The sequence below is a fragment of the Homo sapiens genome, chromosome X, assembly GCF_000001405.40.
Source record: "Homo sapiens chromosome X, GRCh38.p14 Primary Assembly".
NCBI lineage: Eukaryota > Metazoa > Chordata > Mammalia > Primates > Hominidae > Homo > Homo sapiens.
The window spans coordinates 85,276,431-85,303,090 of NC_000023.11; the positions used below are offsets into that span (position 1 = coordinate 85,276,431).

Below are 26,660 nucleotides of genomic sequence, written 5' to 3' on the forward strand. Positions count from 1 at the left end.
TTTCAAAAGAAACATGTCATCTTTGTAGATTGCAATAATGGGAAATGTGTGATGATGGCTTTTTGTTAAGGTGATCTAAATTGGGTAGTGAGATGGAAAGTTTTTTAAAGCTTTATTTTGTTCCTTTTGTACTGTCTATGTTAAGAAGGAGTAAGGCAACAAAAGCACCATTACAAGGATGGGAAGAATGCTTTATGGAACAAGTGAGTTATGGAACTTAGAAATCTAAGTTTGAAAGCAAAGAAATTCTAATTTAAAGAAGAAACTTGCTTCAACTGGAGGTTGAACTATGTTAAAGTAGTCCACATAAGGAAGTTTTCTGCTTTTGTTTTGTTTTTAATGAGAGTGATGCTTGTTAGCTCCAACATAAACATTCACATGATGATAATTTCCTGACAAAAATATACAGCTAAGCTAAAAATCCTTCTGCATATTTCCTACTTGGACTTTCACACAAACCATGTAAATACTTCACATATTTTATTTAGACACATAAACAGATTACTTTGCATGTCATTGCGCAGTCTCCATTTTATGTGACAAATCTAAAGTGAAAACATACTGGAATAGAAATTAGATAAATAGGCACTCCTCACCTGACAACTTTGAAGTTTTCAGAGATAAGCAGTGTGAAACTTATGAGAGGGAAATATATCACTACTACCTCTATTGATCTTAATCACAAATTGGAAAAGAAATACATATATTTAAATAGTCATTTAAATATATAGAACAGCTCTTTATATCATCACATTTTGTATTACAATTTAAAAAATTGTTAAGTATGATAAGGACGTTGTTATGACCCCAATTCACTATCCATGGATCAAGTGAGCCAATAAAGTGCTGGCTTCTTACTTTTTAAAATCTTTGTGGATATATAATAGGTGTATATATTTATGAGATACATGAGATATTTTGATACAGGCATGCAATGTGAAATAATCACATCATGGAGAATTGGGTATCCATCCACTCAAGTATTTATTTGTGTTACAAACAATCCAATTATACTCTTAGTTATTTGTACAATTAAGCTATTATTGACTATACTCACCCGGTTGTGCTATCAAATACTAGGTCTTATTTATACTTTCTAACTACATAGTTTTTGTACACATTAAGCATCCCCAGTTCCCCTCGCACACCCCTTTTCCCAGCCACTAGTAACCATCCTTCTACTCTCTATATCCATGAGTTCAATTGTTTTGACTTTTAGATCCCGCAAATAATTGAGAACATGCAATGTTTGTCTGTTTCTGGCTTATGTCACTTAATATAGTGACCTCTAGTTCCATCCATGACTCCTTAACTGCCCCTGAATTTTTGACACTATTATTTTTAAGTATTTTGGAAAACTCACACCTGTTCTCATTTTTAAACCTTAATAATAACAATTTCCTACTAAGCTAATAAAACTTCCCCTTATATTATTTGTAATGTGTGCATAACATAGTACACTTTTGTTACAGTTACATATATGAATAGTTAGCAGAGGAGAAACTCCTCCGTTGTTCCTACACCAAGGGAAAAAATGTAAGGACTGTATAGCTCATGAATAATATTAACATTTTTCTATCACAAAATATTGATAAAATTGGAATTGTATCAATTCATGTTATGGAGCTTAACATTTTAGCCGAAATATTAAGATAATATAAATAAGGCTTTTAGCTTCATATCAAGACCTATTTGAACACTTCTAGAAAAGAACATTAAAAGTTTTTTCCTCATTTATGGTTTGATTTAGTGTAGTGCCTCAACTGTTCTTAATGGTGTCTTAGTATAATGCATAATTATTAGAATATAATTATAAGGCATTACAGAATTTTATGTGGATACTTGCAAAGATATTTCAGTCCAAAACTTCAAATTACACACCCAAATATGTTTGTTGCCTTAATCTATACTTGGACAAAGGCAACATTTTAATTTTTGCTAAGTCTTAACTTTAGCCAGATGGGTTGAAATGTAAAATTTTCATCCTCATCTTGCATTGAAAAAATACTTGTGTTCAGTTATGTTCACTTTGTAAGGTCATTAAAGCCTAATTGCTAAATCAACTTCTAAGTATACTAAATACTCTGCTACAAAATATTTCTCCCAAGTAGGATAAATCTATCAAGTATTTGTTGCTGCTATTTTTATTCCCTAAGTCTTTATATCTATGTAATATTTCAATGATATGTTTGCATACCACTATGAAAAAACTTACCTTCCTTACACCTACTACTACCACATTGTGTTATATGTTTTTTAAGAAGTAGGTAGGCTCATTTGGGGAAGGTATGCTTTGAAAGAACAGATTTGCCAAGGGACTAATATGTACTTAGAACCAGAATAGCATACTGTATAATTTAGTGGACTTAGTTATTTCAAAAGATATTATTCCACTTCCCTGCTAAATGAAATTAATCATCACCTTTGACTTTCAAGAGGTGAAAATAGCGTGTAATAAAGCATATCTTTTAGTCATCAGGCCTACTGTGAAAAGCAAATACAGACTGTATATATTATATACTAGCTGTTATTTTTTGCTTCAATTGTATTTTATCTCTTTTGTTAAAAAAACATGATTTCATCTTGTAACTGAACTGCACATATAATATCAGAGAAAATCTTCTAATGGCATGACTTGTAAAATCTCTACCCCAACAAATTAGTTTGATATCTAGGAGTTACCTTATCTGAAACATAATGAGTTATGTTCTACAGTGTCTGCAATCAAACTTTAAACAATCAGGTCCCTCTTTCAGTTAGTATGTTGTTATACTGAATACATGAGTGTTATGGAAAAGATTTAGGTCTCATAAATGGGTGAAGAAATTGTCATCTACAGAACTAATTCATTCCATTAGATTTCTTGGGTAGCAGCATGGTTCCAAATTCTGATTGGCCTTTAGTGATGGAAAAATAACAAAGTACTAATGCAGAGACACACACACAAAAAAAAAACGGCTTTGAGTTGTAATACTTTAAAGTGGATCCATTCATGGCTAGAAAAGAAAAAAAAAGGTTATCTTACAACTGGTTCATAATTAAAGTCATTGTTACTATATGCAAAGTTATGGAAAATTATTTAAATTGGTATGTATAAAACCAAAGGACATGTATTGCACTTTTGTGGCACTCTTTTATATATATATATTCAATGAAACAATGATTTGTCTTTCTTACTTTACTCATGGTATGTTTCAAATGACTTTAAGCAAGAGTGAAGGACAATTAAGTAGATTTCCTTCTTAGTAATATTTAGAGTTTAAATATGTCCAATTGTCTCTTAATAAATATGGATTTTCATCTGTGAATGCATTTAAATATATTCTGACCTTGCTATCAGTATCTATAGATTCTTCAAATATCAATTTTGATTTTTACTGCTGCACATTTTTAATGGAGAGAGAAGTAGTGGCTACTATTCTGTAGAAACTTTATTTGGCAGGTCTTCATATTGCCACCTCTGGGATACATGTGGTTAGGGTTAGTGGCAGCAATTGCTTCTCAGTCTTAACTTTGGGCATCAAATTATCTTTGAGTGGCCAATTTTAAATTCTATGGGTTAATAATTAGTAGTAAGTAATTTTCAGCTAACTAATGACCTAACAAAAACAACATTTCAGAGTTTAAATGCAGTTATTTTTACTTTGGGATTACTAAACATTGGTTGTTTTCATTGATGATAACAACCATACTTAAAAGATTGATGGCTGGATTGTAGTTAAAGAAGGGCTTCAGCTCTAAAGAAACTTTTTGAATTTTTTTGTTGACTCAAATATTTGAGCTTGTTCAACCAAAAGATGTTTCTAGAAGTTATTTAACAGATGTTTAGATGTTTAATTTTATTAACTATACATCTGAAGCATAATTTTTAAATATTTTTCAAAAGGTTCTGCAGAATACTGGATTGATATTTGTATATTTGTCTATTGCTCACCACGGTACACTTAAGCATTTTAAGGCTTTTACTGAAGTACAATAAACATGTAGAAAGAAATGGACATATTATAAGTATTCAAATAAATGAATTTTCCCAAACCGAACATGCATATGTAACCATCTCCCAGATAAAGAAACAGAACATTATTAAGACCTTGAATCTCTCCTTATGCTTCCTTTTAATCAGTATCCATCCCACAAGGATAACCATTTCTTCATTTAATAGCCATAGATTTAGTTTTGCCTACTTTTATACCTCAGTAGTTTGACAGGTAGATAATTTTATCATAAGAAGTCAAAGGCTGTCATTTTCACAATGTTTTAAGTCAGATCTGTATGATTTGAGAACTAGAATCCTCAAACATTTCTCTGTTCATTTCACCAGAAGGATATCACACATTCCTATGATCCCTACCAGTGGCTTACTATTAGAATCTCTTGCACCAGTGTAGGAGTATATAATTAGGAAAAAAACCCAAGAGCATTCTGTTAGCAGAGTTTTTCAACCTCAACACTACTTATTAGGGGCTGGATAATTCTTTGTTATGGGAGACTGTCCTGCACATCGTAGTATGTTCAGAAGCATCCTAGTTCTCTAACCACTAGATGCCAATAACACCCACCCCTCTGGTTGTGAAAACCAAAAATGTCTCTAGACATTGCTAAATGTCCCGTAAGGTACAAAATTGTTGCTGTAGAGAGCAACTGTGCTAGGGAATATATAGTTGGCCCTTGGTATTCATGGGTTCCCCACCAATGATGGGTTGAAAATATTCAGGAAAAAAATCATTTCTGTACTGAACATGTACAGACTTTTTTTTTTTTTTACTGTTATTACCTCCTAAACAAGACGGTATGACACGTACTTAGAATTTACATTGAATTAGTTATTGTAAGCTAGAAATGACTTAAAGTATACAGTAAGATGTGCATAGGTTATATGCAAATATTATGCCGATAAGGGACTTGAGCATCTACAGATTTTGATATCTGTAGGGGATCCTGGAACCAATCTCTCATGGATATTGAGGGACAACTATATATCCCCTATTTGATGATCATTACTTTAAAAGTTAATAGAGCAATATGTAAAAGTTTTAGGGAAGTAGCTCTCAGTCCTTTATAAGAAGGTTTCAATAATCAGTCCCCTTAGCAATGGATTGGACCACTTAGAAAGATGCTAAGGTCCATGTCACCTGGCCATTTTGGAGGATGTTGTAGAAGGTAGAGTAAATATTGGAGTATATGATGTTTAAAGTACTCTTCAGCAACCTCACTATAACTGTGGGATTTAAGGCTGGAGGATGTTACAGTCTAGTGAGGAAGCTAGAAACATCTCTTCTTTCTAAATCCTAATATATATAATATATATATATATAAAATCCACAGGAATAAGTACCACATGCAAGATTGCAAGACAAATTCTATTGAAACATGCCTCTTCTCCATTTTCCAGTTGCCTTCATAATTGTCTATGATATTTGCTACCTGCTTTAGAAAAAGGGAAACTGTTTTGGAAAATTTTAATGGAACCCATTCAATAACTACCGAGCTAGGCAAGAAAATAAATAAAATTAGCATATCACTAATGTTAATCTTCTTCCTTTTGAGGGGCAAAAATTATATTTATATTATAGCTTAAATAATCAATTATATTGCCACATGTATGAATCTTTCCAAAATTTGTTAATTCCCACTGTATATCAATAATGGAAACAGAAAATCTCAAAAGAAAAAAATACTCAAAGTTTTTAGTTCATTTGATATTTTACCTCAATTTTAAAAGGCTGTACATATATCGTCAAAATAGGGCTAAAAATGCCCAAGTGAACTTACACAAGTGTATTTGTCTTCTGTTTTCTCAATCACAATAGTCTGTGTTTCACTACCTGGTGGTATATATTCGTAGTCATCATATAGGAGGCCTAGGATTGGATATTGTGTCCTGTACCTGTTGGCAAGAAAAGAGTTAGTTTACAGGCTGCATGAGAAAATAACTTTCATTCCTTTTTAGTCACTCCTAGTTTGATTGCCCTAATTAAGCCAATTCGGCTCTGAATGACTTTTTAACTGTTACTGAAAAAACAAAAAAATAAAAAAACCCTATTTCAATGGACAGAGATGTACAACCATTATTTTCAAGAAAATAAAATAGAGGGACTTCTGTTTCTGGCCATGATGGACGACTGGCAGCACAGGACAGTGACCCCAGAAAAGGGAAGCAAATGATATGGGCCCTACAAGTGCCTAGCTCACTGCCTGGAGAGATTTTCTTGGTCACGGGATAAGTAAAAGGAAGCTAAACAGATCCCAGCAGTCTCACCAAGATAAGGTGATAAAGTTTAGAGTAAATATAGGCAAAGGCACCCAGAGTTTGTGGGGCAGAGTATCAGACAGAAGAGAGCTACATAGATAGAGAGAGGTCAGGACAGCTGTAGAGGTTTTCCCAAAAGCCTTTGGGTGAAAACTGATCAGTGTGCCTGTATGTGAAGAAGCTACCAAGACTTAGGAAATAATGACTAGAAAGGAGCAGGCTGGCAATTTTGGGAGCTCTCATAGGGATGGTAATGTTTTGTGTTCCACTAACAAAACCAGAGTGAAAAGCTCTCCTGATATAGAGGCCATCAGATAGATACTGCAGAATATTGCCTTAGTAGTGGGATAAAATTAGCCTCAAAGTACAGGTTATTCTCAAAGAGTTTAAAAGCAAGGCTTGGATGTATTAAATTGTTTCCAAATAATTTCATCTCAGAACAAAACTCCAAATATTTTAAGTAATACCCTAGCGAAAATCTAAAACTCAACAATATAAAATCACAATTCATGGCATTCAACGAAAAATGAATAGTCATGCAATGGACGATACGACTAATAATGAAGAGAAATATAAATTAGTAGAAACAGACCAAGAGACAACACTGATAAAAAAATTAGTAGGTAAATGTGCATCTATTAGAAACATATAAAATATACAAGGTATATTCAAGAAGTTAGAGGAAAGCATGAACACAGGAGAGAAATAGATAATATAAAAAAGATCCACATTGGACTACTAAACATTAAAAAAATTAGGTGGAGTTAACAGCAGATTAGGCACTGCATTACAAAAAGACCGATAAATTTTAATACATCAAAATAAATAATTTAAAATAAAACATAAAAGAAAACGGAAAAAAATGAATGCAGCATGAAATAACTGTGGAAAATATCAAATGTCCTCATATATATATAATTAAAGTCCTGCAGGATTGGTGGTGGAAAAAAATAATTGACATAATGACCAAATTATTTCCAAGCATGATGTAAAGCTATAAACACACGTATCCAAGAAGCTCAGTGAACGTGAAAAAAAGAAACATGAAGAAAACTACAGAGAGGCACATCATTATCAAATTCTTGAAAACCAGTGAAAGAGAATCTTAAAAACAGCCTCAGAGAAGAAAGGACATTATTCAAAGAACAAAAATCATAAGATTAACAAAAAACTTCTCAGTCACAATGAAAGTCAGAAGACAGAAGAGCAATATTGTTAAAGTACTTTTTTAAAAAAAATGTAAAAAATCTCCTTAAGCTGATAAGCAACTTCAGCAAAGTCTCAGGATACAAAATCAATGTGCAAAAATCACAAGCATTCCTATACACCAATAACAGACAAACAGAGAGCCAAATCACGAGTGAACTCCCATTCACAATTGCTTCAAAGAGAATAAAATACCTAGGAATCCAACTTACAAGAGATGTGAAGGACCTCTTCAAGAACTACAAACAACTGCTCAAGGAAATAAAAGAGAACACAAACAAATGGAAGAACAGTCCATGCTCATGGGTAGGAAGAATCAATATCGTGAAAATGGCCATACTGCCCAAGGTAATTTATAGATTCAATGCCATCCCCATCAAGCTACCAATGACTTTTTTCACAGAATTGGAAAAAATTACTTTAAAGTTCATATGGAACCAAAAAAGAGCCCACATTACCAAGAAAAACCTAAGCCAAAAGAAAAAAGCCGGAGGCATCACGCTACCTGACTTCAAACTATACTACAATGCTACAGTAACCAAAACAGCATGGTACTGGTACCAAAACAGAAATATAGACCAATGGAACAGAACAGAGCCCTCAGAAATAATACCACACATCTACAATCACCTGATCTTTGACAAATCTGACAAAAACAATAAATGGGGAAAGGATTCCCTTTTTAATAAATGGTGCTGGGAAAACTGGCTAGCCATATGTAGAAAGCTGAAACTGGATCCCTTCCTTACACCTTATACAAAAATTAATTCAAGATGGATTAAAGACTTAAATGTTAGACCTAAAACCATAAAAACCCTAGAAGAAAACCTAGGCAATACCATTCAGGACATAGGCGTGGGCAAAGACTTCATGACTAAAACACCAAAAGCAATGGCAACAAAAGCCAAAATTGACAGATGGGATCTAATTAAACTCAAGAGCTTCTGCACAGCAAAAGAAACTACTATCAGAGTGAACAGGCAACCTACAGAATGGGAGAAAATTTTTACAATCTACCCATCTGACAAAGGGCTAATATACAGAATCTACAAAGAACTCAAACAAATTTACAAGAAAAAATCAAACATCCCCATCAAAAAGTGGGCAAAGGATATGAACAGACACTTCTCAAAAGAAGACATTTATGCAGCCAACAGACACATGAAAAAAATGCTCACCATCACTGGCCATCAGAGAAATGCAAATTAAAACCACAGTGATCTCAGGCCACTTAGAATGGCGATCATTAAAAAGTCAGGAAACAACAGGTGCTGGAGAGGATGTGGAGAAATAGGAATACTTTTACACCGTTGGCAGGACTGTAAACTAGTTCAGCCATTGTGGAAGACAGTGTGGCGATCCCTCAAGGATCTAGAACTAGAAATACCATTTGACCCAGCCATCCCATTACTGGGTATATACCCAACGGATTATAAATCATGCTGCTATAAAGACGTATGCACACGTATGTTTATTGTGGCACTATTCACAACAGCAAAGACTTGGAACCAACCCAAATGTCCATCAATGATAGACTGGATTAAGAAAATGTGGCACATATACACCATGGAATACTATGCAGCCATAAAAAAGGATGAGTTCACGTCCTTTGTAGGGACATGGATGAAGCTGGAAACCATAATTCTGAGCAAACTACCGCAAGGACAGAAAACCAAACACCACATGTTCTCACTCATAGGTGGGAATTGAACAATGAGAACACTTGGACACAGGTTGGGGAAGATCACACACTGGGGCCTGTCGTGGGGTGGGGGGAGGGGGAAGGGATAGCATTAGGAGATATACCTAATACAAATGATGAGTTAATGGGTGCAGCACACCAACATGGCACATGTATACATATGTAACAATCCTGCACATTGTGCACATGTACCCTAGAAGTTAAAGTATAATAAAAAATTTTTAAAAATGACCAGCTTACTCGTCTATACACAACAAAAATACTTTTGAATAATGAAGAATTGATAAAGACTGTTTTTAGACTTAAAAGGCCAAAAGAAGTCTTCACCAGAGAAGCATGATAAAAAATGTTAAAAGAAGTTTTTAAGGCAAAGGGAAAATGATACAAGATAGAAATTTGAATTTGATCAAAGTAATACATAGCACCAGAAAAGATAAATATGTAGGTAAATTTACAACATTGTTTTTCTTATTGTTAACATTTCTTTAAAAGATAGTTGGCTGTTGAAAACAAAAACAATAATGTATTTAGGGGCTAATAATATATGTGAAAGAAGTTTATATGATAAAAATAGTAGAAGTCATATTAGTCATATGAAGGAAATGGAAGTTGATTATTACAGAGTTGTTATGCTACATGTGATGGGATATAATATTATTGGAAGTCGGCAGTGATCACTTGAAGAATATTATGAACCCTACAGCAAACAAAAGAAAGAAGTATACCTAATAAGCTAATAAAATAGGTTAAATGAAACATGAAGAAATAATTCATCCAAAAGAAGAGAGGAAAAGAGAAAGAAAGAAAATGTGAGGTAAATAGAAAACAAATAGCAAGATAGTAAATTTAAATCTATCCATATAGATATGTATTGCCTAAACACTCAATTAAAAAGCAAAGATTGTTAAATTTGATAAAAACTCAAGACCCAACTACACATGCTATTTACAAAAACCATACAATCCTTAACACTTTAAATACAAACAAACTAATAGATTAGAGTAAAAGGATGGAAACATATGTACCATGCAATTTCTAATCAAAAGAAAGTTGGAGTAGTTATATAAATATCAGATGAAGTAGCCTTCAGAATAAGAAGCATTAGTGCAGATAAAGGGTGATTTTATAATGATAAAGGTGTCAATTCATCAACAAAATGTAGCAGTCCTAAATGTTCATTTATCAATAAAACATAACAATCCTAAATGTTTATGTACCCTCCCAGCAGAAATTCAAAATATATGAAGCAAATACTGATAGAACTGAAAGGAGAAATAAACAAATCCACAATCAGAGTTGGAGATTTTGGCACGCCTTTCAAGGTAATTGATATAAGTAGAAAGAAAATTAGTAAATATATAGATGAAATCCCCAAATATGTGGAAACCAAAAAATTTAAATCTAAAAAACCTGTAGATCCAAGTACAAATTAAAAGGGAAATTAGAAAATATTTTGAACTGAATGCAAATGAAAATATAACTTATCAAAATTGTGGGATGCAGGTAAAATAGTGCTTAAGTAGAAATTTATAGCATTCAAATTTTATATTACGAAAGAAGAATGGTCTAAAATCAATGACCTATGTTTCCATGTTTTGAAACTGGAAAAGAAACAGAAAAGTAAGTGGAAAATAACATAAGAAAAAACAAAAATAGGAGAAGAAATTAGTGAAATAGGAAAGAGAGAAACAGTATAGGAAAATCAATTAAATTGAAAGCTGGTTCTTCAAGTATATCACTAAAATTGACACAACTCTAGTCAGACTGGTTAGCAAAGAAAGAGAACATACAGTTTACCAATATCAAGAAAGAAAGAAGGGATATCCCTATAGGTCCTATAGTCTTTGAAAGAATAATAAAGAAATATTATGGCAATTTTATGCCAAAAACTTGGCAATTTAGATGAAATGCACAAATTCTTCAAGAGACACAAACTACAAAAACTCACTCAAGAAGCAATAGATAATCTGAATAAGTATGGGTCAATTTTTAAAATTGAATTTACAATTAGATGCTTTCACACAAAGTCAACTCCAGTCCAGGATGACTTTACTAGTTAACTCTACCAAAAAATTAACAAATAAATAATATCAATCTTACATAAACTCTTCCAAAATATAAAATAGTAGGGCATACTTCTCAACTCATTCTATGAGGTCAGCATTACTCTGGTGAAAAAGCAGTCAGAGGCATCATGAGAAAAGAAATGTATAGGCTAATATCACTAGTAGAATACAGGTGTCAGATCCTTAACAAAATTTTAGCAAATTGGATCTAGCAATATATAAAAAGGATACTACATTAATCCAGCACAATTTATCCCAGTAACAAAAGTTTGGTTTAATATTCAAAAATCAACAATTCATCATTGTAACAGATCAAACAAACAATAGAAACTTATGTTCGGGTTTGGGATTTTAAGAATGGAGAAGTAAGGAGTTTGACAGACACTCTCTACAATAAAACAATGATTCAATGATTTCACTGGTGAAAATTACATATTTTTTAAAAATTAATCATTTAAAGTCTCTGGAACTCATTTAAGGGAGGACAGCAAGTAGAAAAATATTCAAGAAAAACTACTAAACCTTGTTAAGAACATTGAAAGTCTGTGATATTTGAGCCATGACCTGCTTCATCCAACTACCTCCTGCCCCTCAGTTCCTGTTTCGGGCAAGAGTGGTTGAGAAGTCGTACTCTCTTCCTCTACCCTGTCCCCCACTTGTAGAATGGAAACTCTATACCAGACATGGCAGGCTGAAAATATTGGGTTCCTGATCAACTCCATCCAACATACTCCTTGGTCAGAGAATCTACAATGAGAGGAGCAAGCCAAGGAGATCATAGACTGCCACCTCCCCTCAGTGCCCACTGACAGAACAGAGATTGTCACTGGAAAAAGTGGGTACCTGCCCCAGTTCTGGTGCAGTGGCACAGGGATTCTTCCCAGGTTGAAAGGCAGTGATATGGTTTGGCTGTCTCCCCACCAAAATCTCAACTTGAATTGTATCTCCCAGAATTCCCACGTGTTGTGGGAGAGAACCAGGGGGAGGTAATCAAATCATGGGGGCTGGTCTTTCCCATGCTATTTTCTTGATAGTGAGTAAATCTCATGAAATCTTATGGGTTTATCAGGGGTTTCCGTTTTTGCATCTTTCTCATTTTCTCTTGCCACTGCCATGTTAAGAAGTGCCTTTCACCTCCCGCCATAATTCTGAGGCCTCCCCAGCTATGTGGAACTGTTAAGTTCAATTAAACCTCTTTTTGTTCTCAGTTTCAGATATGTGTTTATCAGCAGCGTGAAAACAAACTAATACAGGCAGTCTATAAGTACAAATGCTATGCAGCTCTGTGTGATGGGACTGACTTCATTTGAAACAGATAATGTAAAAATCCACATCTAAGAATGTTGCTGAAAATAATGGTGGACTTGGTGGAGAGCAATTAAGAGGAGGCTGGAGGCTCTAGAATACAAGCAAAATGGCAGAACAGCCTGAAGATAAATAGGGAAAGAGATGGCTAAAAAGAGTCCTCCTGGGACTCTTTATGGGAGTCAAGAAAGCTATGCATATGTGCTAGGCCACAACCACTCAGGCGCATGCAGAACAGAAAGTGGGGGAAGAAATGAAAGCATATCACAAGCTGGACAGACCATCAACACAGGTCACATGACTCACTGGCGCAAGGGGCTTAAATGTAACCTCTAACAAATTGTTGAACAAAAAGTTGCTCTGGTCCAGGGGCAATTCCTAGGAAACCAAGCTAAAAATAAAATCAGGTTCATACATGGCAGTCTGGACAACCGTGTGCATGCCCAAGGCTGCACGCTCTCATGTGCAATCACGGAGGGAGTTTCCAATACACTAGTCTCTGGCTGAATGTGGGTCAAAGAAATGCAAATATCCTGAACTGCGATGGCAGCTCCCAAGCCACACATATATCCAATAGTGTAAAAATATAACTGGGTAAGGTGTCATAAGCACAAGTTTTTACCACTAGGTGGCTTATTCAAGCCCGGGGGCATCCCAGTTCAGTCAGAAGGGAAAAAACAAACAAACAAAAAAACCAAAACCAAAACAAAAAACCAAGATAAAAAAATCTGAACAGGGACATTAGAAGATAAACAATTTGGAGAAAACAAAAGACTTTGAAGAATTAGTTTAGGGAAAGTACTAAGTACATAATCAGGCAAACAACCCCTAGCAAGAGGTGGGGGTGTGGGAACAGGGATCGGTATCCAGAGTTGCTACAGCATATTATTCAAAATGTCTAATTTTCGACAGAAAATTATAAAACTTGCAAATAAAGAAGAAATGCTGACACATAAAGGGAGGGAGGAAAGCAGGCAATAGAAAATAATTTTTGTATTTTATTTATTTTTCAACTTAAATTTCAGAATAAGGGAGTACAAGCGCAGGTTTGTTACAAAGGTTTACACGATGCTGAGGTTTGTGGTATGAATGATCCTATCACCCAAGTAGTGAACATGGTACCCATAGTTTTTCAGCCCTTGCCTGCCGCCATCTCTCCACCCTTCAGTAGTCCCCAGTGTCTACTGTTCCAATCTTTATGCCCATGAGTATCCCATGTTTAGCTCCCACATTTAAGTGAGAAAATGCACTATCTGGTTTTCTGCTTCTGTTCGTTTTATATAGGATAATGGCCTCCAGCTACATCCATTTTGCTTCAAAAGACATGATTTTTTTTTTATGGCTGCACAGTATTACATGGTGTATATGTACCACATTTTCTTTTTCCAGTCCAACATTGATGGGCACGTGGGTTGATTCCATGTTTTTGCTATTTTGAAATAACGCTGCAATGAACATGCAGGTGCATGTGTCTTTGGGTAGAATGCTTTTTTTTACTTTGGGTATATACCCAGAAATGAGAATGCTGGGTCAAATGGTAAACTCGTAGTTCTTTGAGGAATCTCCAAACCGCTTTCCACAGTGGCTGAACTAATTTACATTCCTACCAACAGTGCATTAGCATTCCCTTTGATCTGCACCCTCACCAGCATCTGTTGTTTATCGACTTTTTAATAATAGCCATTCTAACTGGTGTGAAATGGTTATCTCATTGTGGTTTTAATTTTCATTTCTCTGATCACTAGTGATGATGAGCATTTTATTCATGTTTGGTGGTTGCTTGTATGTCTTCATTTGAGAAGTGTATGTTCATATCCATTGCCTACTTTTTAATGATTTTTTGCTTGTTGATTTAAGTTCCTTACAGATTCTGCATATTAGAACTTTGTCAGAGTTTGTGCATATTTTCTCCTATTTTGTAGGTTGTCTGTTTACTCCCTTGATATTTTCTCTTGCTCAGCAGAAGCTCTTTGGTTTAATTAGATATCATTTGTCAATTTTCGCTTTTGTTGCCGTTGCTTTTGACATCTTGGTCATTAAATCTTTGTCCATGCCTATGTCCTGAATGGTAATGCCTAGATTGTCTTCCAGGAATTTTATACTTTTGGAGTTTACATTTAAGTCTTTAGTTCATCTTTAGTTTATTTTTGCATATAGTGTAACGAGGGGTCCAATTTCAATCTTCTACATATGGCTAGGCAGTTATCCTGGCACCATTTATTGAATAGGGAATTCTTTCCCCATTACTTGTTTTTGAAAGCTTGGTCAAAGATCAGATTGTTATAGGTGTCTGGCCTTATTTCTGGGTTCTCTATTCTGTTCCATTGGTCTATGTATCTGTTCTTGTACCAGTACCATGCTGTTTTGGTTAGTGTAGCCCTGTAGTATAAATTAAAGTTGAGTAGTGTGATGCCCCCAAGCTTTGTTATTTTTGCTTTGTATTGCCTTGGCTATACAGGCTCTTTTTTCGTTCCATATGATTTTGAAAAGTTTTTCTGTAGTTCTGTGAAGAATGTCAAAGATAGTTAAATGGAAATAGCATTGAATCTGTAAATTGCTTTGTGCAGTATGGTCATTTTAACAATATTGATTCTTCCTATCCATAAGCATGGAATCATTTTCCATTTCTTTGTGTCATCTCTGATTTTTTTTGAGCAGTGTTTTGTAGTTCTACTTGTAGAAATCTTTCACCTCCCTAATTAGCTGTATTCCTTTTTGTGGCAATTGTGAATAGGAGGTCATTTCTGATTTCGCTCTCTGCTTGACTTTTGTTGGTGGATAGGAATGCTAGTGATTTTTGCATATTGATTTTGTATCCTGAGACTTTGCTGAAGTTGTTTATCAGCTTAAGAAACTTTTGGACTGAGATTGTGGAGTTTTCTAGATATAGGATCATGTCATCTGCAAACAGGGATAGTTTGACTTCCTCTCTTCCTATTTGGATGCCTTTATTTCTTTCTCTTGCCTGATTGCCCTGTTCAGTACTTGAATGTACCTAACATTCAATACTATGTTCAGTAGGAGTGATGAGAGAGGGCATCCTTTTCTTGTGCTGGTTTTCAATGGGAATGCTTCCAGCTTTTGCCCATTCAGTATGATGTTGGCTGTGGGTTTTTCACACATGGCTCTTATCATTTTGAGGTATGTTCCTTCCATACCTAGTTTATTGAGAGATTTTGACATAAATGGGTGTTGAATTTTATAGAAAGCCTTTTCTGCATCTATTGAGATAATCATGTGTTTTTTGTCTTTAGCTGTGTTTATGTGATAAATCACAGTTATTAATTTGTATATGTCTAACCAACCTTGCATTCCAGGGATGAAGCCTACTTGATTGTGGTGGATAAGCTTTTTGATGAGCTGCTGGATTTGGTTTGCCAGTATTTGTTGAGGATTTTTGCATTGATGTTCATCAAGGGTATTGACCTGAAGTTTTCATTTTTTGTTGTATCTCTGCCAGGTTTTGATATCAGGATGATGCTGGCCTCATAGAACGAGCTAGGGAGGAGTCCCTCTTCCTCTATCTTGTGGAATAGTTTCAGCAGGAATGGTCCCAGCTCCTCTTTGTACATTTGGTAGAATTCAGCTGCGAATCTGCCTAGTCCTGGCCTTTTTGTTGTTGTTGTTTGGCAGGCTATTTATTACTGCCTCAATTTCAAAACTCATTATTAGTCTGTTAAAGGATTAAATTTCTTCCTGGTTCACTCTTGGGAGGGTGTATGTGTCCAGGAATTAATCCTGGACACAGCAAAGGAAACTGTCAACAGAGTAAACAGACAACCTACAGAATGGACAAAATGTTTTTGCAAACTATGCATCTGACAAAGGTCTAATATCCAGCTTCTGTAAGGAACTTAACAAGTTTACAAGAAAAAAAACAACCCTGTAAAAAAAAAAAGTCAGCAAAGGACATGAACAGATACTTTTCAAAAGAAGACATATATGTGGCCAATAAGCATATGATAAAAAGCTCAACATCACTGATCATTAGAGAAATGCAAATGAAAACCACAATGAGATATCATCTCACACCAGTCAGATTGACTACTATTAAAAAGTCAAAAATGACAGATGCTGGTGAGGTTGTGGAGTAAAATGAACACTTATACACTGTTGGAGGTGTGTAAATTAGTTCAGCCATTATGAAAGTGTGGCAATTCCTCAAAGACCTAAAGACAGAGATACCATTCAACACAGCAATCTCATTACTGGGTATATACCTAAAGCAAAATAAATCATTCAATTGTAAAGATGCATTTATGCGTATGTTCACTGCAGCACTATTCTCAATAGCAGACATGGAATCAACCTAATGCCCATCAATGATAGACTGGATAAAGAAAATATGGTACATGTACACCATGGAATACTATGCACCCATAAAAAGAACAAGATCATATCCTTTTCAGGGACATGCATGGAGCTGGAGGCCATTATTCTTAGCAAACTAACACAGGACCAGAAAATCAAATACTGCATGTTCTCACTTATAAGTGGGAGATAAATGATGAGAACACATGGACATGTAGAGAGGAGCAACACACACTTGGCCTTTTAGAAGGTGGAAGGTGGGAGGAGGGAGAGGATCAGGAAGAATAACTAATGGATACTAAGCTTAGTACATGGGTGACAAAATAATCTGTACAACAAACCTCTGTGACTCGTTTACCTATGTAGCAAATCTGCACTTGTACCACTGAACATAAAATAAAAGTTAAAGAAGAAAAAAACAGGCCGGGCATGGTGGCTCATGTCTGTAATCCCAGCACTTTGGGAGGCCAAGGGGCAGATCACCCTGAGGTCAGGAGTTCAAGACCAGCCTGGCCAACATGGTGAAACCCTGTCTGTACTAAAAATACAAAAAATTAGCCGGGAGTGGTGGTGCATGCCTGTAATCCCAGCTACACTGGAGGCTGAGGCAGAAGAATCGCTTGAATGTGGGAATCAGTGGTTGCAGTGAGCCAGGATCATGCCACTGCACTCCAGTCTGGGTGACAGAGCAAGACTCTGTCAAAAAAAAAAAATAAATAAAGAAGAAGAAGAAGGAGAAGGAGGAGGAGAGGAACATTTAAAAAGAATTAAAGAAAATGCTACTGAATTTTTACATTAGTTTTGTATTCTGAAACTTTACTGAAATCATTTACTAGGTCTAGGAAGCTTTTGGTGGAGTCTTTAGTCTTTTCTAAGTATAGAATCCTATCAGCAAGGAGAGAGAGTTTGACTTCTTTTCTTAATTGGATGCCTTTTATTTCTTGCTCTTGTCTGATTGCTCTGGCTAGGACTTCCCATACTATGTTGAATGGGAGGGTTAGAGAGAACATCTTTGTCTTGTTCCAGTTCTGAAGAAGAATGTTTCCAGCTTTTGTGTTCAGCATGCTATTGGCTGTGGGTTTCTCATAGATGGCTATTATTATTTTGAGGTATGTTTCTTTGATGCCTAGTTTCTTGAGGGTTTTTATCATGAAGGGATGTTGGACTTTATTGATAGCTATTTCTGCATCACTTAAGATAATCACATGTTCTTTTGTTTTCAATTCTGCTTATGTGGTGAATCACATTTATTGATTTGCATAAGTTGAACCAACCTTGAATCCCAGGAATGAAGCCTACTTGAATGTGGTGAATTAACTTTTTGTTGTACTGCTGGATTGGGCTTGCAAGTATTTTGTTGATGATTTTTGTGTTTATGTTCATCATGGTTATTGGCACGAAATTTTCTTTTTTCATTGTGTCTATGCCAGATTTTGGTATCAGGATAATGCTGGCTTCATAGAATGAGTTAAGGAGGACTCCTTCCTCCTCTATTTTTGGAATAGCTATGGTAGGATTGATAGCAATTCTTCCTTGTATGTCTGGTAGTATTTACCTGTGAATCCTTCTGGTCCTGGGCTTTTTTTGTTGTTGTCTTGTAGGAGTTTTTTAATTACTAATTCAATTTTAGAATTCATTATTTGTCAGTTCAAGTTTTCACTTTCTTCCTGGTTCAATCTTGGAAGGGTATGTGTTTTTATGAATTTATCCATTTCCTCTAGATCTTCCAATTTGTGTTATAGAGGTTTTCATAATAGTCTGAGGACCTTTTGTATTTCTGTGGGATTGGTTGTAAAGCCATCTTTTTTATTTCTGATTATGCTTAGTTGAAACTTATCTTTTTCTTTGTTAATCTAGCTAGTGTTCAATTGGTCTTTTTTATTCTTTCGAAGTACCAACTTTTGGTTTCATTGATCTTTGGTATGAACTTTGCATCTCAATTTCATTCAGTTTTTTTCTAATTTTAGTTATTTATTTTCATCTGCTATCTTTGGATTTGGTTTGTTCTTGTTTTTCTAGTTCCATTAGGTGCAATGCAATATTAGATTGTTAACTTGAGATCTTTCTAACTTTTGTTGTAGGTGTTGAGTGATGTAAACTTCCTCTTAACACTGCTTTGGATGCATCCCAAAATATTTTGATATGTTATTTCTCTATTTTCATTAATTTCAAAGAAATTATTTTTTATTTCTTTCTTGATTTTGTTGTTCACCCAAAAGTCATTTGGGAGCAAGTTGTTTAATTTCCATGTAATTGTGCAGTTTTGAGATATCTTCTTGGTACTGATTTCTATTTTTATTGCACTGTGGTCTGAGCATATGCTTGGTATAATTTTGATTTTTTAAAATTTATTGAGGCTTACTTTATGGTCAAGCATATGCTCAATATTAGAATATGTTCTGTGTGCAGTGGAAGTCTGTTTTGTGGTTGTTGGGTGGATGATTCTGTTGATGTCTATTAGGTCCAGTTGGTTGAGTGTCAAATTTAAGCCCGAAATTCCTTTGTCAGTTTCCTGCCTCAGTGATCTCTCTTATGTTGTCAGTGGGGTGTTGCAGTCTCCCATTGTTATTTTGTGGTTGCCTAAGTCTTTTCATAGGTCCAAAAGAACTTCTTTTACAAATCTGTTTGTATGCAGATGTTATGCTCCAATGTTGGATGCATACATATTTAGGACAGTTAAGTTTTCTTGTTGAATTGAACCCATCATCATTATGTAATGCCCTTCTTTGTCTTTCTTGATTGTTGTGGATTTAAACTCTGTTTTATATGATATGAGAAGAGTAACCCCTGCTCTTTTTTTGTTTGCCATTTGCAAGATAGATCTTTCTCTATCCCTTTACTTTGAGTCTGTGGGTGTCACTGCCTGGGAGATGGGTCTCTTGAAGACAGCAGACAGTTGGGTCTTGTCTTTTTATTGAACTTACCACTCTATGTCTTTTAAGTGGGGCATTTTGACTTTTTTACATTCAAGGTTAGTTAGTATCGATACGTAAGATTTTGATCATGTCATCTTGTTGTTAGCTGTTTGTTGTGTAGCTTTGGTTGTGTAGTTGTTTCATAGTGTCTGTGGGATATGTGCTTAAGTGTGTTTTCATGGTAGAAGATATAATTATTTCATTTCCATGTTTATCATTTCCGTAAGAACCTCCTGTATAGCTGGTTTAGTGATAATAAATTCCCTTAGTGTTTTCTTGCTTTGGAAGTTTATTTCTCCTTTGCTTATGAAGCATAGCTTGGTGGGATATGAAATTCTTGGTTGGAATTTCTTTTCTTTAAGAATGCTGAATATAGAACCACAATCTTTTCTGGCTTGTAAGTTTTCTGACTAGAGGTCTTCTTCTAGCCTGATAGAGTTTCCTTTGTAAGTGACTAGAGCCTTCTCTCTTGTTGCCTTTAACAATTTTTTCTTTCACATTGACCTTCGTGAATCTGATGACTATGTGTCTTGGGAATGTTTGTCTTGTATAGTATCTCACATAGGTTCTGTATATTTCTTGAATTTGCATGTCAACCTCTCTAATGAGATTGAGGAAATTTTCATGGACCATATCCTCAAATATGTTTTCCAAGTTATTTCTTCTCTCTCCTGTCAGGAATATCAATTAGTTTTAGGTTAGTCTTGTTACATAATCCCATATTTCTCAGAGGTTTTGTCACAATTTAATTTTTTTTTTATTTTTGTCTAAGTTGATTATAAGATTCTGTCTTCAAGCTCCAAGATTCTTTCCTTGGCTTGGACTATTCTGTTGTTAATGCTTCAAAATGTATTAGGTAATTTTTGTAGTAATTTTTTCAATTCCAGAAGTTCCATTTGGTTCTTTCTTAAAGTGGCTATTTTGTCTTCTTTCTACTTTTGGATAGTTTTACTGGATACCTTGGATTGGGTTTCAACTTTTACCTGTATCTTGATCAGCTTCCTTGCCATCCAGATTCTGAACTTTATGGCTTTCATTTAAGTCATTTCAATTTGGTTAAGAACCATTGCAGAGGAGTTGCCTTGTTTGAAGATAAAGGGAAACTCTGACTTTTTGAATTGCCAGAGTTCTAGCACTGATTCTTTCTCATCTGAGCAGGCATGTGCTCCTTTGTGTTTTGGATTTGCTGTAATTTCTATGAGGCTTTTTGTTTTGATATTCTTTATTTCCCTTTAGGGTTTAACTGTTGTGCAAGTTGAGTATAGTTAATTAGCTTTGTTTCTAGGTGCTTCCAGAGGGCCAAGGCTCTGTATGGGATCTTTATTTGTGGCTAGATTCTTACCTTGGGTTTCACAGGCAATGTGTATTGGCAGAATACTTTTGGTATTGTAATTTGGGCAGTGATCGAGTAGATGAGTAATGGTTGGCAGAGAGTATTACTCTGCTCTGTGGCTTTTTTATATTTCTGCACATTTGCAGTGGTACTCTGTGGGGACCAGGGGAGAGAGATGACACCCTAGCCAGGTCCATTCCCAGGCCTTAGGGTAGCCCCACTTGATCACTGGCACTGCATCCACATTTCATTTGTTAGATGTTCTAGGCCATGGGGCTCTCTCAGGCAGAGATTTTGTCTAGCAGACAGGCCTCACCCTTCCTGGACAGGCCCTGGAGACAGAGGTGTGCCCTGCTTCTGCACTGGCCTATGAACTCACACCTAACACTCAGTGTATTGAGACTGGGGGCTCCTCCCCAGATTGAGTTCTGGCAAAAATCTCAACTCAGAACTCCTGAGTGTGTGCTGCAACCTTGGGGCATTGGAACCATGCCTGTGGCTTTGTCCTCTACCTCCTTGGGATCAGGCACCTGTTGTGCTAGGAGAGCTGAAGTGTTCCCAGGCTGTGGGGAAAGCACTCCAGCAGGGCCACTGGCAAGACTGTCAGGCCAATCAGTGGAGGCTGTGCTGTGTGAACACAGTTGCAGAATCAGCCAGGCAAGAGCCTTGTAGGGATTGTGGACAGGAAGACATGCAGAACAGATGTGTCCAGAGAGCCTTGGGGGAATGGGTGCCTATGGCCACATTTTGTTGCAGCTGTTCCACATGTAAAACCCCCTGGGGTCCTTGCAGGCTAGAGCTCTGTCTTTGTCTATTCTTTGGGCAGATCCTCCTGACAATTGAAATGACTGCAAGAGTCGTGAGATCTCTTGTAGCTAGGATGCCAGAGGTACATGGTGAAAGTGGGTTGCCCTGCTGTCACTTCACTCACCCATTCCTTAGGAGGTGTTCAGGACCAGGAACTAATCCTGGTGCTTGGCACACCAATGCAGTTTTCCCAGCTTTCTCCCTATTCAGCCTTAGTATCTGTGTTACCTATCAAATCTCAGTGTTTTCTCTCCAAAGATCTGTTTGAAGTACAAACAGATAGTGGAGAATTTGCTGGTTTGTTTATTAGATATTTTGGTCTTTTGTGGTGGGAGAAGTACTTCCTGGATGTGTCTACTTGGCCATCTTGTCCCTCTCTCCAGAAACTACTTTCAAAGAGGACCAGATGGTGTATTTAGAAGATAAAGACTTCAAAGTAGCTATAATAAATATGTTTATAGGGCTGGGCTCAGTGGCTCATGCCTGTAACCCCAACACTTTGAGAGGTCATCATGGGATGATTGCTTGAGACCAGGAATTTGAGGCCAGCCTGGGCAACATAGTGAGAATACAAAGAACTAAAAAAAAAACCATGCTTAAGGAAGCAATGGAAGACGATGTCAGTGAAAATATACAACAACCTCCAGAAATGCTCTATGCCATAAAAGAAAAAGGAAATCTGGCCAAAAAAAATCAAAATTAACTTTATCAGGACTCTCAAAATTAATAAACTTTTACAGCCATCAGAGAGCATTTATTTAGGAAAAACAGCTAAATCAGCAAGATTTGTGGCATTTGAAATTGTTCTATTCTCATCTCTGTCTCTCCAACTATGCAATAGAATTTTAAAACAATCTTTTTTTTTCTTTTTTTTTTTTTTTTTTGAGACGGAGTCTTGCTCAGTCACCCAGGCTGTAGTGCAGTGGTGCGATCTTGGCTCACTGCAAGCTCCACCTCCTGTTTTCTTTTTTTTTTTTTTTTGAGACGGAGTCTCGCTCTGTCGCCCAGGCTGGAGTGCAGTGGCTCGATCTCGGCTCACTGCAAGCTCCGCCTCCCGGGTTCACGCCATTCTCCTGCCTCAGCCTCCCGAGTAGCTGGGACTACAGGCGCCCGCTACCACGCCTGGCTAATTTTTTGTATTTTTAGTAGAGACCGGGTTTCACCGTGTTAGCCAGGATGGTCTCGATCTCCTGACCTCGTGATCCGCCCGCCTCGGCCTCCCAAAGTGCTGGGATTACAGGCGTGAGCCACCGCGCCCAGCCTCCACCTCCTGTTTTCACACCATTCTCCTACCTCAGCCTCCCGAGTAGCTGGGACTACAGGTGCCCGCCACCACGCCTGGCTAATTTTTTTTTTGTATTTTTAGTAGAGACGGGGTTTCACCATGTTAGCCAGGATGGTCTCAATCTCCTGACCTCGTGATCCATCCACCTCGGCCTCCCAAAGTGCTGGGATTACAGGCGTGAGCCACCGCGCCCGACCCTTAAAACAATCTGGGTAAAACCCAGGAGCCTGGCAGCAACTAGAAGACAAAACAAGGTTAGAGCTCCTTCAAAGCCACATTGTCGTTATAATTGTCATTGTTTGATTTGTCTGTTGATTCTGTGGAAAACTCCACTTGCAAGGATGCCTTTTAAAACTTGACTCGTAGCTCAACCAATTTGCAAATCCTTTTTCCTGGGAACATTTGTCGAAAATAATGTGTGGAAATTGTTTAATATCACAACTACCTGAGGTGGCTATAATAGTTCAGGCAGACAAGAAATTGACCAAAAATGATAAAAGGAAAAACTGAGAAATAAATTGTCCATAGTGGGCTTTGAAAATTTGTTATATGTTCCTGGGAATCTAGAAAGCCACAGGCATGTGTAGGGCTTTGTACATGCCCAAGGCTGTACGCATGTGAAGGAAAGACCTGAGAAAATCCTGAGCCCTCAGTACTGGCTAACCTTAAAACTCTGTGTAAGCAGGAACTGGGGGCTAAGGACGAGCTATAAATTGCCTACCAGAACATTGAAGAGGTGTCCAAACACAGACAAAGAGCCTCTCAGTGAAAACTAGGAGACTTACTAGTTTCATGTTTGTAACGAAACCTCTGTTTAAATGTTAACTGACCACTAAGATAAATGAGCAGAGACTTCAGTGACCACATATGAAAAGAATACAGACTTTATAGAATTAAATCAGAAAAGCCACTAAGCAAAAGACAATAACATCAACAGCAAATAATAGCAACAATGAACACCTTGGCAGGAGGGAGTATCTAATTTCCAGAGTTACCACATTATATTATTTTCAATGTCACGTTTTCAATAAAAAATTATAAGACATGCAAAGAAACAAGAAAATATTGCCTATCATGGAAAAAATCACTTGAAACTATCCATTAAGAAGCCAGATGTTGCATTTACATAGCCTTTAAATTGGCTATTTTAAGTATGCTCAAAGAACTAAAGAACTAAAGGAAAGGATGAGAGTTGTGGCTTATGGAATAAAGAACATTATTAAAGAAAGAGAAATTACTTTTAAGAGAAACTACAGTAATTCTGAGGTAAAAAAGATAATAACTAGATTTAAATTTCTCAACAGCCGATGTAAGCAAATGGAAGAAAGAATCAACAAATTGCAAAGAAGGTCCGTTGAGTTTATCTATTCTGAGGAACAGAAAGAAAAAAGAATGAAGAAAAATAAACAGAGCCTCAGAACATTCTGTTCTGTTTATGGGGACTCCACAAGGAGAGGGAGGAAAGTGGCAGGAATGATAGCTGAAGAAATGTCTGAAAACTTCCCAGATTTGATTAAAAATATCAATCTGCACATCAAAGAAGCTCAGCAAATGCCAAATAGTGAAAAATAAGAGATCCAAACCTTGACACATAATAATCAAACAGTCAAGGGCCATAGAAAAAAATAATCTTGAAAGCAGTAAAAAAGAAACATGTCAGGGGGATCCTCAATTAAAAATTATCAACTGATTTCTCATCAGAAATTATAGAGGCCAGAAGGCAATGGGATGACATATTCCAAGTAACAAAAAAACACTGTCAGCTGAGAATTATTTTATCCAGCAAAACCATTCTTCAAAAATGAAGGAAAAGCAATATATTCCCATACAAGCAAAAACCCAAAGAATTTGTCACTGCAAAACCTGTTCTACAAGAAATACTAAAGGGAGTCCTACAAGAAATACTAAAGGAGTCCTTCAGGCTGAAATTTAAGGACTCTATACAGCATCCCAAATCCATTTGAAGAAATAAAGATCACCAGTAAAGGTAACTATACAGGTAAATATTAATTAAATTTCTGGGGGAAACCTAAGGGGAAAAACTCAGAAAATATAGTAAAAGTAACTAAAATGGAATTAAAATGTTACTGTAGAAAATATTTTACACAGAAGAAGGCAGGAATGGAGGAACAGAAGAACAAAAAACATAAGACATAGAAACAAATAGCAAAATAGCTAATGTAAATTCTAACTTATGAATTACATTAAATGTAAGTGCATTAAATATTCCAGCTAAAAGCAGAGATTGGCAGAATGTATAAAAAGATACAACCATGTGTGGTTTACAAGAGTCACAGTTTAGAATCAAATACACAAATAGGTCAAAAATGAAAGGACAGAAAAAGATATTTCATACAATTAGTAACCAGAAGACAGTTTATATTAATATAAGACAAAATACTTATGAATGTAAAATTTATGATCTTGGGTTAGTCAACAGTTTCTTGTATATAATACCAAAAGCACAAGCAAGAAAAAATATAGATGAATTGGATTTTTTTCTATATTAAATACTTATGCTGCATATTATACTCTCAAGATAGTGAAAAGACAACCCATGGAATTGATGAAAATATTTGCAAATCTTGTCTCTGATAAGGGACTTGTGAACATGTGAAAATCTCTTGCAATTCAACTATAAAAAGACAACTCACTTAAAAAATGGAAAAAAATTGAATGGACATTTCTTCAAACAAGATGTATAAATGGCCAATAAGCACATAAAAATTGCTAAAAAACATTAGTTATTAGGGAATACAAATCAAAACTCCAATTGGATACCACTTTCCACCACCTAGGATGGCCATAATCCAAGAGATGAACAATAACAAATGGCAACGAGGATGGGGAGAAAGTGGAACCGTCATACACTACTAGGAATGTATGATGGTGCTTTTGCTTTAGAAAACAGTATGGCAATTCCTTAAGCATAGAGTTATCATGTGACCTATCAATTCCACTCCTAGGTATATACTCAAAAGAAATGAATACATGTACCTTACACACTTGTACACAGACGTTCACAGCAGCATTATTCACAATAGCCAAAAATTGAAAACAACCCAAATGTCCAACTGATTAATCAATAAATAAAATGTATATCCATACAACTGGATATTATTTAGCAACCAAAAGGAATGAAGTCTTGACTCATGCTAAATCATGCTTGCATCCTGCAAACATTATGCAAAATGAAAAATCCAGACACAAAAGACTATATGTTGTATTATTTCATTTATATGAAATATCCAAAATAGACTTCTGCTGAAGCTATTCATAATTACTTTATATTTGGTTTTGCTAAATGGCTGGAATGTAATTTGTGGTCATATTGCTACCGTGAGGGTAGACCTTACCTGATTAAGATGTCTACACAGGAAAGAGCAGAGCCAAGATATAAAGAAAGACATATTTATAAAGGCATATTTTGAACACACAAATCCATCTGGATACCAAGTAACCCCATTTAAGTGAATTTAA

At 35.9% G+C, this 26,660-nt stretch overlaps 1 protein-coding gene across 3 annotated transcripts in view; it reads right to left on the minus strand.

Annotated features, from left to right (window-relative positions):
• POF1B (POF1B actin binding protein) overlaps window positions 966-26,660 on the minus strand; it is a 102,270-nt gene continuing 76,575 nt past the window's right edge. For 2 of the 3 annotated variants that reach the window (XM_005262203.5, NM_024921.4), the window contains exons 16-17: window positions 5,773-5,887; window positions 966-2,996 (exon numbers count right to left, since the gene is read on the minus strand). In XM_005262203.5, coding sequence (XP_005262260.1) covers window positions 2,991-2,996; window positions 5,773-5,887 — 121 coding nt within the window. In that variant the 3' untranslated portion in view covers window positions 966-2,990. Of the gene's footprint in view, window positions 2,997-5,684; window positions 5,888-26,660 lie in introns of those variants that run through there. The other variant, NM_001307940.2, reaches the window with a different exon arrangement.